Source organism: Homo sapiens, chromosome 5 (genome assembly GCF_000001405.40).
Source record: "Homo sapiens chromosome 5, GRCh38.p14 Primary Assembly".
NCBI classification, from domain to species: Eukaryota; Metazoa; Chordata; class Mammalia; order Primates; family Hominidae; genus Homo; species Homo sapiens.
In genome coordinates, this window is record NC_000005.10 from 85290719 (window position 1) to 85304798 (window position 14080).

A 14080-nucleotide genomic window follows, 5' to 3' on the forward strand; every position below is an offset into this window, starting at 1 on the left:
AAGAGTAGCATGAGATTCAATTCTAAATGTGATTAGAAATGATCCTTAAATGTCGACTTGACTGAATATAATCAGCTTATACCACTGAAAAATGTGTGTTCTGTTCTGTCATCCTTCTTATATTTGACAAGGTCAATAATACCAAAGCTGCAGAGTCAAGATAGCTATTTTTTTTTTTTTTGCCTGAACTATATAAAGGACCATTAGGGGAAAAAAGGCAAAATATGATTGATTTGGAAAAAATGAATAAAACCTGTTTTAGTATTAAATTAAAAACCTTTCCAAAAGCTGAAATGTTTATAATGAATACATAATAATGAAAGAAAAGAACCATATATATACATTATATATATTATATATACATATATACATTATATATGTATATATTTGATTCATCTTGGCTATGATAGCTTTGCCTTGTCTCTAATAATGTTATATATGTTACACTTTTAACTATTTAAACTTTAGTTGCCAGGTTTCCCAATGTCTTTACATCTCTGTCATATATGCAAATTCCGGCTTATGCTTTGTGGTGTTCTTCTATACTTACATAAAACATAATAAAAGGAAAGGATCATACTATCAAGTTATGGACAAACATAATAGAAAAAAATGGGTCAAGTCACATTTTCACTGTTTATCAATGTTTTCCTACATGACTAGGATCACAAAATACCCACCTGGCTTAATATAAATCATTGGTTTTTATTTCAGTTTGTCATTCATCCACTGTAGTTGAAAAATAAGGTTGCATAGTTCTATGATTCCAAAGGAAAGTGATCATGAACACTTAATTATCTTTTTATTTCTGCATTTCACTGGAGGCTGCAAAAATAGCAAGGTATATAAAAAATCAGCAAAGAGAGAGATGGAAAATGTAATGAGTAAGCAGGCTGGTGACTGAGTACCAATTCCCATAATAAAACAAATTGCATATTAACTTTCAAAAAGTGTTGAGGGAAAAAGAAGAAAAAAAAAAAAGGAAACAAGACCTCTGTTAGGATGTAGACAGGCAAGAGGAAAGCAACAATACCCTAAGGGTAATAGCAGTAGCCAGTATGGGTGTACTGACATTTAAGCAAAGCCATCACTCAATCACTTACAGTGGTTTAGTGATCCCAGACATTCTTGTCCTATAGGGGTATATCACTCAATACAGGTAATTTAAACTCAGGATCTCATAAAAAATAGAATATATGTCAAACTCATCTAGATAGGTATCTGCATAATAAATGTGAAGTCCACAGGGGAGTATAAGCACAGTTGTCAAAATTAGGTTCAATTTAAGATAGAAAATTTAAAAAGAGATTTATAAATGTCTGAGCAAATTAAAAGTTGGGATTCTAAAACATAACTGAGCCATCCTATATGAAAACTTATTTTCCTTGGATATTGCACCCATTATCCTAACTCTGGACTTTTTAAGGTGTTCCTGCATAGGATAATCTTTCTCCTTTTACCTCTACTTGACCAACTTATCCTTCAGATACTATATTCATTGTCACTTTGCCAAGCCATTCTTAGACCAGGTCAGTTCTCATTGCTACATGAAATATCTACAGAATTAATTCTAATTCTGTCTTAAAATAGATCTCTTTTTTTAGGCAGCCCAATGTCTATCTATTTTTGTCATTAAAAGTTTTAGGAGAATTGTTGTGCACTGAAAGTATGTCAATAGATTTTTTTTTTTTTTTTGAGATGGAATCTCACTCTGTCGCCAGGCTGGAGTGGCACAACCTGGGCTCACTGCAACCTCCGCCTCCTGGGTTCAAGCGATTGTCCTGCTTCAGCCTCCCGAGTAGCTGGGACTACAGGCGTGTGCCACCACGCCCAGCTAATTTTTGTATTTTTAGTAGAGACAGGGTTTCAGTTTTACCATATTGGCAAAGAAGGTCTGGATCCCTTGACCTCGTGATCCGCACACCTTGGCCTCCCAAAGTGCTGGGATTATAGACGTAAGCCACCGTGCCTTCCCTATCAATAGATATTTTTATAGGTTTCAGTCATGTCTTTGACTAAGAGAGGGAAACACTTCCTAAGGTTTTGTCTTCTAAACTATAATATTGCCATGTATTTTCCAGCATCCTCCAAAGTACTGTCTCCTTGACAACTCATATATCAAAAAGATCAGAAGCAGAGGATTCTGATCCTATTTAAGCCAAAAGTTTTTGCACATATTTTGCTGTTTCAGAATATATAATAGTATCAATAAGATTAGTATTATGCTTTGAAGATACATGGTTAACTATAGTTTATATAACTCGGATAATTATAGAACTAGGTATTAAACATTATGAACATGATAAGAAATCTGTAATACGCATGTATGTACGGGCTGTTATTCCATACCAGATAACAGAAGCAAGAGCAAACCTCAGTTCTTCTGACTCTAAAGGTACAATGAAATTCTGTTTTAAAATTAATCCTGTATGACTATTTTTACTTTCAACAGTAACATTAAAATATCCTCTTAGACCTGTACAAGGAGAAACTCCGGCTCCGCTAAACTTAATGATTAATTTGAGTACAAACTAAATACAAGAATGGAATGTGTGAGCTAAACCAGGTCCTCCTGTTAAATGAATGTGAATCTAAGAGTTCACAAGTGTGTGAGTGAGTGTATGAGTGTGTTGATGGCAGGGAAGTAGAAAAGCGTGGCTGTAGGAAATTTGGCTGCTTTCGTTTTAAGCTGGCCACCCAAATCAGTTAAAATGTGTAACCAAACAGATAGCTGAGTTTTCTGTCTTTCCTTGACTTAAGTGGTCTTAATTGGAAAGACCTTACCTGCCTGGAAATTCAGAACAGATAAGATTATTCCACGGGATAGAGAAACAGCCTGCTCAGCTCTCTGAAGAGTGTGACGAGGTCAGTTTCCATCCTGGTTCAGGATTCCTGGACAACCCACTTCCGGCTTTGCTCTCTCCAACCCCAGTTATAAATATGCTCAGGCTCCAAGCACCAGACCTGCTGTAAGGTGAAATATGGCTTTTGGAGAGCCTCTGGGTTGTACAGTTAAGGTGTAAAGGGAACTAAAAGTGGGATCCACAGCTGGGAAAAGGGATGGGTGATACTTACATCTTCAGTTAAAACTTTACATATTTAGACCTTACTATATGGGACTCCATTTATGGCTCCTACTGTGAGGAGTGGGTCAGTAACATGCATTATACTTTGCTACTTCCTAGCAATTAGACGAGAAAAATTTACTAATATAAATCTGGAACACAGTAGGTAATTAATAAGTATTTGAAAATGAATTTATGCATAATAACATGACCAATTAAATTCAATAAGCAAGCAAATCAGACATAAAAACTTGCCATAGGCTAGATTTTTAAACTGGCTTTAAATTAGTATGTCTTAACAGATAAGAGTAGATTTTTAAAAAGGTTAATATATGTATGTGTTGTATATATAGTGTATGTATATTGTAGTGGTATATATAAACATGTAAATATAACTGGAGAAGTTTTATGTATATATGTATGTATATAAATGCAATCAGACATTATGAGCAATAAAGACTGATGGTTTCAAAGAGTTTGTGTTAATACTAGAATACTCTTAAAATGATTGGTGGATAAAGGCATAATGCATATATATATATACACAAATATATGGATGGCTGAATTATGAATAATTAATTGACTTTTCCTTAGGCTTCTCTATAATTTATTATCAAGTAGGCATTAGAGCCAAAATTTTAAATTTAATGAAAATTTTTTTTCAAATATGTAAAAGTATCTGTTAATTTTAAAAATTTAAATAAAATACTTGATGACGTACTACTGAAAGCTTGAAAATCCTCTTTTAATACTGAAGATAAACAAAAATTATACAGATTCTAATGATATGTAGTGTGACCTCTAAATTAATTTGTATTTATTCCCCTTCACTTGGTCAGCCAAGCCAGGATGGTGTTATTAGAAGAAAAATATGCCATTTAACATTTGACATCCTTCTCAATACTCAAAAATAACTCAGCATTTTGACTAAATTATATCACTTATTTTATAACAAGTATTAGTAGTTTCTGAAACTTCAGACAAATTTAATGAATTCAAATGAAAAACATATTTATTAACTATCCGACATGTGGGCATGTAGAAGTAAAGCTTGAATTTCTTATTCAACATTAAATACTTAAAGACCACAAAATAATGAATATGTGTGAAAAATCTAGTAATGCACTGCTAAATGTTGACCCTTTCTTTAGAAAGGTGACATTTGTGAAGATTGTCAATTATGTTTGAAGTTAAGAAAATAAACACAAATATCGACCAAGTCTCAATGTAAAAATATAATTAAAGGTTGCAGCAAAGTATTATTCTATTAAGTTTTACATTTTAAATTACTAAACCATCCCAGTGCTTCAGATACAGTATCAAGCTTGGGCTCAGAAGAAAAAATAATAGGTTAATAATAACAGAATTACAAAAACAAATGAACTCTTACTGCTTTGCATCCAATTCTTTATTCTTGGTGGGCATTCTTCAGTAACGGAATTTACTTTCTTAGTCACCACTTTTATGACAACAACACACTTCTAAAAGAAAAAAGGGGACTTAATTGGTGCTGCTAATTCATTCTGTTTTATAGCCCATTTCTCCAATTAAAGATTCAGAGAAAAATGCATGCTCAGGATGACTTTGCAAAGGATAGCACTGACTTTGATATTTTTCTGAAGAATCATCCCGTCTATCCACATCTCTATTTCACATCAATTACATCTGATGTATATCCAGTTTTCACAAAAAAAAAGAAAGCTAATATCTCTAGTACATATGAGAAATATTTAATTTGAAGTGTCCCATACTATTTCAAAGTTGAGATTCCCATAGTTGCTGTAGTGTCTGTCTAACGTAAAAGTGTATTGTACCTATTACCATAAGACATTTAGAAGTTTAATTGAAAAATTATTACATATTTTGCAAGAAAGTTATAGTCTTATTTTTGCACTTCTGCCCTATTTTCCTGATGAACTGTTTGTAATTACACAGTACATTATTTTCGTGAAATCATTTATTAAGCATCCAGTATGAAAAAGGGGCCTGACAAATATTTGAGAACTACAATAATTAATAGTGATTTAGTGCCTGGTACTAATAGTATGGTTTAACAGAAAAAACAAGAAAGCTGAATATGCTGGACTAACAAAGAGCTAATATTTGATTCAGTATATATTGTATAAGTGCTGAAAGATTTTGCTGAAAAAATAATTTGATGAACTTCAATGCCAAGCATGCCAAACTGCACTGTTCAGCCTATATTCGCCAAGAGAAGGGATAACCTGAAGGTCCTTGAGGAGGAAAAAATAAAAATAAAAGAGCGAAAAGCATAATCAGAAATACACTTTAAGAGGAATAATTCACATTTAAGTGAATTTAGCCTTTCGGAGAGTGGACAGGAAGAAAGAGTGGAAAGTAGAGAGAATAATAATGAAGAAGAAATCATTTAAAAAGTAAATTCAACTGACTATAAAAATTAACATTTATATGTATTAAACTTAAATGACCAATTGTTGTCACTTTCTTTTCTACTATGCCACTTTTATTAGACTATAAGCTTCTCTTCCAAACAATAATATCCTTTTTATGTTTTCATTTCCTATAACTAGACAAAATCTGGCGAAGAGTAAATGCCTATAAAATGTTTGTAAAGTGAACTGAGGGAGGAGAACGAAAATAATGTGTTTGAAATTTTAAATTTAAATGAACATGAAAGTGGAAATAATGCAAATATTCTTTGATAACAAAAGGTAGAGCAAGAAATGATCATTTGAAATCAAATAGTGCTTACTCAGATCCTGGGGATGCTTTGTAACTCTGGTGTATTGTATGTGTCTTAATATTATAGGCAACAATTTTTGTGAGCCAAATGTGTTGATAAATGTGAAATACATAGGTGTGCAATGAGTATATTGTTTCCTAGTGGTGAAAATGGAGCCAAGATGAAATGATCTGTCAAAAATTTGATTGATTGATTGATTGATTATTTTTCTAATTCTCCCAGTAGCCTTTTTACTAATTTTTAATTTTCAATTTTTGTGGGTATCATAATAGGTGTATGTATGTGTAGGGTACATGAGATATTTTGATACATGCATGCAATGTGTAATAGTAACATCATGGTAAACTGAGTATCTATCCCTTTAAGCATCTATCCTTTGTGTTACAATCCAATTATAGACTTTTATTTTAAAATGTATAATTAAATTATGATTGGCTGCAGTCACCCTGTTATGCTACCAAATGCTAGGTCATATTCATTCTTTCTAATTACTTTTTGTACCTATTAACTGACCCATTTTCCTCCCACACCTCCCCTTATTCTTCCCAGGCTCTAGTAACCATCCTTCTACTCTCTATCTCCATGAGTTCAATTGTTCTAACTTTTAGCTACCACCAATAAGTGAGAACACATGAAGCTTGCTTTTTTGTAGAAAATTTTAGAACAAAAATGTTCTTAACAGCCAGGACAGATCTCTCTCATTGCCTCTGTCCTCTTACACCACTGCAATAGTTACTCAATAAATATTAGATGATCAAATTTTTCTGCAAGAACTAAGATTTAACAAGAAACAATAAATAACACCAACTTATTAAAATAAAATTAATTTATTTTTCTTTGTAATGGAATTTTAAGCCACATTGAGAAAATGGACTAACTTTCACCATGAATTTTAATGATTTTTAACAAAATAAATACTCTCATGAAACTGCTACTCAGGTGATGAAACAAATCAATGAAATCACTGATGAAATTAAAAACCAATCTCTCCTTCCTAAAGTTAACTGTCATTTAGATGTTGAACTATTTAAGTTTTGCCCATATTTTGAAATGTATTAAAATGGAATCTCACTGTTTGTGTTTTTATTTCTTTTCTTTGAAGTGTGGGTCTCTGGCTCAATTTTATGTTTTTGAGATTCAATTAATGTTTTTGTATACCTGTAATAAATACCTTTTCTTTATTGCTGTATGGCATCGTGTAAATGTAATGCTAATAGAAGTTTAAGGTCTTTCAAACTTAAGGCCATTACAAATTATGCTGCTGTGAAAATATATACTTTTTGGTGCAAAGGCACACTCATTTTGTTGGTAACATAAACCTAGATATTAAAATATTGGATTTCATAATATGTTTATGTTGAATGTTACAAGATTATACTAACCAGTTTTATAAAGTAGTTTTATGAATTTATATTCCCAGTAACAACTAGAAGTTCTCATTGCTCCATATTCTCACCAACATGTTATTGTCATTGGATATATGATATTATGTTATCGCAGATTTAATTTGCATTTTCCTGAAGACTGGTGGTATTGAAACTCTTCATAAATATATTTGGTATTGCATATTATTTTTATAAAGTTTTGTTCAAATAATTTTGTTGTCTGTATTTTAATTAGTGATGTGTAAGAAGGTTTTTAAAATTAGCCCTTTGCTTTTTTAGGGGAAGATAATGAAAATATTTTCTTTCAATGTAGGTCATACACTTTTACTCTCTCGAAAGTGACTTTTGATGAATATTGAAATAAAAGCAAGTGTGTTGGTGTGTTCATTATACTACATCCATTTTTGCTTTGTTTAATAATAAATTATTGTTTATTTCAATATCAGAAAATAGTTTTCTTTGCTAGTTTCTAGAAGCTGCATAGTCTTGTTTCTCACATTTGGATATACTTCTCTCTATAAATATTTTTTGTATATGCATGTGGTGAGAGAAATAAATCAAATGTATTTGTTTTGAGTGCAAAATTACCAGAGCCATTTATTGAAGACTCTTCTTTCTATAATACTATGCAGTAGCACTTTTGTGTTACAACTTCTATTTATATATGAGGGTCTGTTCCTTGCTGTTCTTTCCTATTTGATTAATTATTCCTATAAGAAATATGTAGTCTTATTTAGTACAGTTTCTTGCTAACTTTTAGTATCTAATAGAGTAATATAGCCAAGTTTTCAGAATTGTCTTGTACATTGTTTTCCCTTAACTGCTTTATTCAATTTTGGTTTTTCTTTCTTGAGTCAGAAAATTCTGACTCAAAAGTAGGTAACTTTTTCACCTATTTCTATATTTATCACTAGATATTTTTATGCTATACAATTGATTTTTATACATTTACTTTGTCCCCAGCACTTTTATAAGCATATTTTCTAATTCTAATAATGTACCTGATTATGTTTTGGAGTTGCTCTGTACATAATTATGTTACCCCCAAAAGAATATTACAATCAACCTATTCGTTGATTTGCGCAAAGGAAAAAGCCCTGTGGGTATTTGGACTGGGAATTGCATCAAAACAATAGATCAGTTCCCAGAGAAAATGTTATATAATAATATTTTGCAAACATTAACATTGTACATTTCTATTTTAAGGTCTTAATTTTTTCAGAATGTTTTGTAATTTTGAATGTAGTGGTCACACATGTGTGTAATTAAATTCATTCTTAGCTGTGTGATGCTTGTTTACATTATTGTAAATTGTATTTTTTCTTAATTCATTTTTCAGTATGTATGTTCCTGACATGTACATATATAATTGATTTTGGTGAATTTATCTTGTTTTCCATGACATCCCTGGATTTAGGTGCTAGTTCTAGCAGGTTTTTTTTTTATATTCCTTTGGATTTTCTAAGTATAGTATTTGAAAATAAGTATAATTTTACTTCTTTTTCCTTAATTCTTATATCTCAAATACTTTTTCTTATATTATTGTACTGAGTAGGATCTTCAGTACAATATTGATTAGAAGTGGTAAGAGTAGGTAACTTTGCCCTTGCCCCTAATTTTAGGGGATTAAACTCGATATTTCACTCTTAAATGTGATAGTAGCTATGAGTTTTTCATGAATACAATTTTTCATATTGAGAGTTTCTTTGTGTTGATCGTTTGTTGAGAATTTTGCCATGAATAATTGTTGAATAACATCAAATGCTTTCTCTATATCTACTTAAGTGATCAAATAAATATTTTAAGTTTTATAATAAGATGAATTATCTATTTCTTGATGTTTCAATGTTAAGCAATCCTTGTATTTCTGGAATAAATCCCACATAATCATGATGGATTACCTTTTATTATTAATGCCAGATATAATTGACTAGTATTTCTTGAAGGATGTTTGCAACTATGTTTATGAGTGTTGCTGCTCTGTAGTCTTGTCATAATGGCCTTATCAATGTTTGATTACCAGTTTATATTGGCTTCATCAAATTGGTTGAATATATTCTCTTTCCCTTTATTCTATGAAAAAGTATTGAAAATTGGTACTGCTTCTTTCTTAAATATATTGTGGAACTCACCAGTGACTGCTTTACTATTGAAACACTCATTGTGGTAAGATTTTAGATTATAAATTTAACTGCATTATTTAATACAGTATTATTCATATTTATCTTTTCTTTTAGAGCAGTTTTTGTAATTTTTGATATCAAGGAATTTGTCTATATACATGAAGTTGTTCAAGTTATCAACATAAAGTTGCTCTATATATGTCTTTAAAACCCTTATACTGTAAATAGTTCTCTTACAAGATTGTGTTTCATTTCTAGTGCTAAAAATCTGAGGTTTTTTAAGCAGTAATGTATACATTTATATATTTAAGGAATCCTTTTAAATAAATATAATTTAAATTAGTTGACTTCTAATGTCTGTCTCTATTATTATTGTTTTATATATCTCTTTCTTTCATGTTATTAGCTTTAATGTTTCCTTTCTTCTTTACGCTTTAGTGCTAAAAGCTTAGTGAGTTAATTTTTTAACATGTTTTAACATTATCAAATTCTGCAAGTTTGTCTGTATTATGGTTTTGTTAAAGTATTTCCTAGTATGATTGTTATTTCTCTTGCATTCCATGATTTATTAGCAGGCATGCTGATTAATTTCCAAATATTTGGCCATTTTCTATATATGTTTTCATTTATTTATAATTCAGTATTTTATGGTCCAAAATACACGCTGTGATTTTTGCCATTTGCAATTTATTAACAACTGTTGAATGAAACAGAATGTGATCCAATTTGGTAAATATTCCATGTGTATTTGAGAAGAATGTGGATTCTGCATTTTTGTATAGTGTTTGTAAGTAATCATTTTGGTCCAGTTCATTAAAAGAGCTATTTCAATCTTCCATATCCCTACTAAGTTTCATTTTATTTTGTTTTGTGTATCTAATCTTTCAAGATCTAACAGAAGTGTCTAAAATCTTTAAATATGATTGTGAAGTTCTATATATTTTTATTAGATATTTCAATTATTTTTCAGTTGTGTATTTTAAAGCTATACTATGAGGTTTCATACATTTATGAGCTTATGTCTTTCTGATTTATTTATATTTTTATCATCATAAAAAATGCTGTCTTTAGTGGCAGGAATAATCCATGTCTTTACGTTTACTTTGATAATGTTAACAAAACATTATTACTTTTTTATGATTACAATTTGCATGCTTCAAAATCTTTTTATTTTAAAACTGGGTCTTTATATCTAAAACATTGCTTAGAGTTAGCCTATAACTGGAAAGTTGTTGATTTGTTTGAAAAAACACGTCTGAAAAAAATTTCTGTTAAACTGAGTGTTTAGACTATTTGCCTAAGATACTTAATATGGTTGGGTTTAACTTTGCTATCTTGATACTTGTTTTATTTTTTCTTCACTTGTTCCCTCTTATTTTTTTTTACTTTTTTGGCCTTCATTTGGGTTATTTGAGCATATTTTAGAATTTAATTTTATTTTTTATTGGATTTTTATTTTAGTGATTGATCTAGGGTTTAGAATGTTATTAAATTATATATTAAATTGATATTTCATCACCAGATGTATGAAGAAACTTAACTTAGCATATACCACTTATCTGCCACCATCTCACTGTGTTAACGTGGTCATTTGCTTTACTCATATGTGTGTTATGAACCTCACCATAAATTATGTCCTTTTTGACTTAAAGATAAAATGACTATATAAATGAATACCTAATAATAATCTTGAATACTTAACAATATGTTTATTACATTTAGTGTTCTTTCTTTATTTTTAAGTGTCAAATTCCCATTGGAATATTATTTATTCAACCTGAAAACTTCCTTTAATGTTTCTTTTTATATATATATTTTTTATTATACTTTAAGTTTTTAGGGCTGAAGACAAACTATCTCAACTTTAAGTTGTCTAGGACAGTCATTTTTCACCTTATTTTTTGATGAAATTTTAGGCTGGATATAGAAATATACATTGATAGGGCTTTTTTGTTTAGTACTTTAAAGGTGGCATTTCTTTGTCTTCTAGATTTTATCACTTTATTTTCATCTTTAGCTTGCTAAAATGTTATTATGATGTGTTATATTTCATCTTCCTTGTAAATAGTCTGTCAGTGATTTGCTAAGGTTCTTGGATCTTTGAGTTTCTGTTATTCATCAGATTTGGAAAAATTGGGAAAATATTAGTCTTTGTTTCTTCAAATGATTATGCTGCTTGTTATTTTTGACTTATTTTCCTGTGACAAAAAATGTGATATATTAAAATCTTAAATTTGTCCCATATGTCTCGAAAAGTTTGTTGACTTGAATTCCTCCAAGGAATTATGCAACATATATGTGTGCATTCATTCACATTTTATATTTTATATATGTATATGTGTGTTAGTTCACTTATCAAGTTTCTTATTCTCTCCCTATATTTACCTATACATGTATTCTACTGATCTTATGCTTTCTTATACTTATAAGACCTCATTTCTAAATCCATTACTTTTGTTATATGTTGTTCTGATTCAATTGAGTTTTTTTCTATTGCTACATTTTTCACTTTCCTGCTTCTTCACATGTTAATTGGATTATTTTTTAAATTATACTAAATTGTGTAGAGACTCTAGATTATTTTATCTTTTTTCTTTTTTTTTTTTCACAGGGCTTCTCTCTGTCTCCCAAGCTGGAGTGCAGTGGCGTGATCTCGGCTCACTGCAACATTTGCCTCCTGGGTTCAAACAAATCTTCTACCTTAGCCTTCCGAGTAGCTGGGATTACAGGTGCACACTACCACATTCAGCTAATTTTTATATTTTTAGTAGAAATGGGGCTTCACCATGTTGGACAGGCTGATCTAGAACTCCTGACCTCAGGTGATCCGCCTGCCTTGGCCTCCCAAAATTTTATATTCTTTTAAAGAGTCTTAAATTCTGTTTAGACAGTTAAATTACCAGATCACCTTCCTTCCTTGCTTCTCCAGGCTGGAGTGCAGTGGCACAATCATAGTTCACTGCAACCTCAAACTCCTGGACTTAAGTGATTCTCCCATCTCAGACTCCTGAGTAGCTAGGACTACAAGTGTAAGCCAACATAAAAAATAAAATAATTTTTTATTTTTATTTTTTTGTAGAGACAGGGTCTTGCTATGCGGCCCAGGCTCCACCTTGCTTCAGTAAATGCTTTGATTTAGTCTGAGTTGGCGTCATTACTCCTAAGACATGAAGTTTTTGGAGTCTGAATTTGGGTGTTACCTTTATATCCAGGATATTCAATAAAATTTCGGTACTCTGGATTAGTCGGTACTTCACCATTTTTTTTTTTACACTCAGTAATCGAGATTCTAAGACCTGCCTCTGCAAGTTTCGACCTTCTACATAATTCTAAAGTTAAACTTATTTTTCTGTACCAAATGAGACTGCCAATCTCTATTTGGGCCCCATTTATACACAGAATTATGGAAATTTTGTCAAGCTAAATGCTGGGAAACTGAAGCTTGGCTTATGAGCTTCCTTGTTCTCAAGAATCACCTCTCTGTGCTGAAAACACTTCTTTCCAATATTTTGCACAATTTTTCATTTCTTTACAGCAGAAGAATAAGTCTAATCCCAACTACTAAGTCTAATCCCACAATGACTGATATCAAAAATTATTATAAATTTATTTTATATCACCTTAAAAATATGTAAGAAGCAATTATCTTTGAGAAAATGTATCAATCATTGCAATTTACAATCATCAAATTACCTTCTAAAATCTTCTATATTATCAAAAACATAATAATAGGCTTAATTCTTATACTCTGGAAAAAACACAGTCCTAGACGATATCTCTCTGTACATATATTTTCAAGATCAAAGAAAAAAGTTTGTGGTCTCCACTAATGGTATAAAATAATAATTAATGCATCCAATACTCCACACTCATTTTTCTCCTTTTCTAGTCTCCGGACACTATAATCTATTGAACTACATACGTATATACCCATGAAATGCATAGAGTTATAGATCTCTGCCACTTTTATATGCTTAATATATTCTCCTGCATACGTATATATCCTTGAAGGGCATAAAATGTTACTTATAAATATTAAAAACCTTCAATTAATCTTTCCAGTACTCACCTTTATATTCCCAAACTGATACTCTTATCTTAAAAAGACTCTGACAATTAATCGTTAGCATCACTGTCTTGTTTAGAATTTTCATGTTATTTATATGACAAAATATTTTCACAACTGAAAAATAAAACAAATTATATCAGTAGTCATAATATTATTTATGTTTACAATATTAACACAAAATCATATGATTGCTTCATATATGCCACGTTAAGGGATTTGCTTTGTCATATAGAAACTTGATGACAGAGTCAGGATACAAATTGAGCTAGTCTGACTCTACATGTATTTTAATTCTATAGAGACATAAGTGGACTATTTTTTTCCTTTCAGATTTTTTTAAAAAAGAAATATATGTTTTTAAATGACATCCTACATTTTACTTGGAAATCTGAATTGTGAGTTTAGGCACTTAAATATATTCATTTTTATGTAATCAAATATTTTGAGTTTTTGTAGTAGCTACATTAAAGATTCATAGAAATGTCCTCCAAGATGACTTTGTAATTGATATCCTTTATATTCTAGTAAGAAATAGGATTCTTTCCTTCCACGTACAGCAAAAGTGATGAACTATGTCATCACTTAAAAATATATCATATTTTCTTATCTGCCTGACAGTATTTTTTCCAGTTGCATTGCACAATATCAGATTATGGTGATAGAGCAGCATTAAGACAGTATTAAACACCAAACATCAAATATGCCTTTCTTGA

The 14080-nt window shown here is 30.6% G+C and overlaps 1 long non-coding RNA gene across 1 annotated transcript; it reads right to left on the minus strand.

Annotated features, from left to right (window-relative positions):
* Positions 1 to 630: 630 nt before the first annotated feature.
* LOC101929321 (uncharacterized) lies at positions 631 to 13471 on the minus strand. The gene is made up of 3 exons (XR_002956252.1): positions 13368 to 13471; positions 4456 to 4546; positions 631 to 825 (listed from the first exon to the last, which is right to left on the minus strand). It is a non-coding gene; the product is annotated as an uncharacterized LOC101929321 (long non-coding RNA).
* Positions 13472 to 14080: the final 609 nt, after the last annotated feature.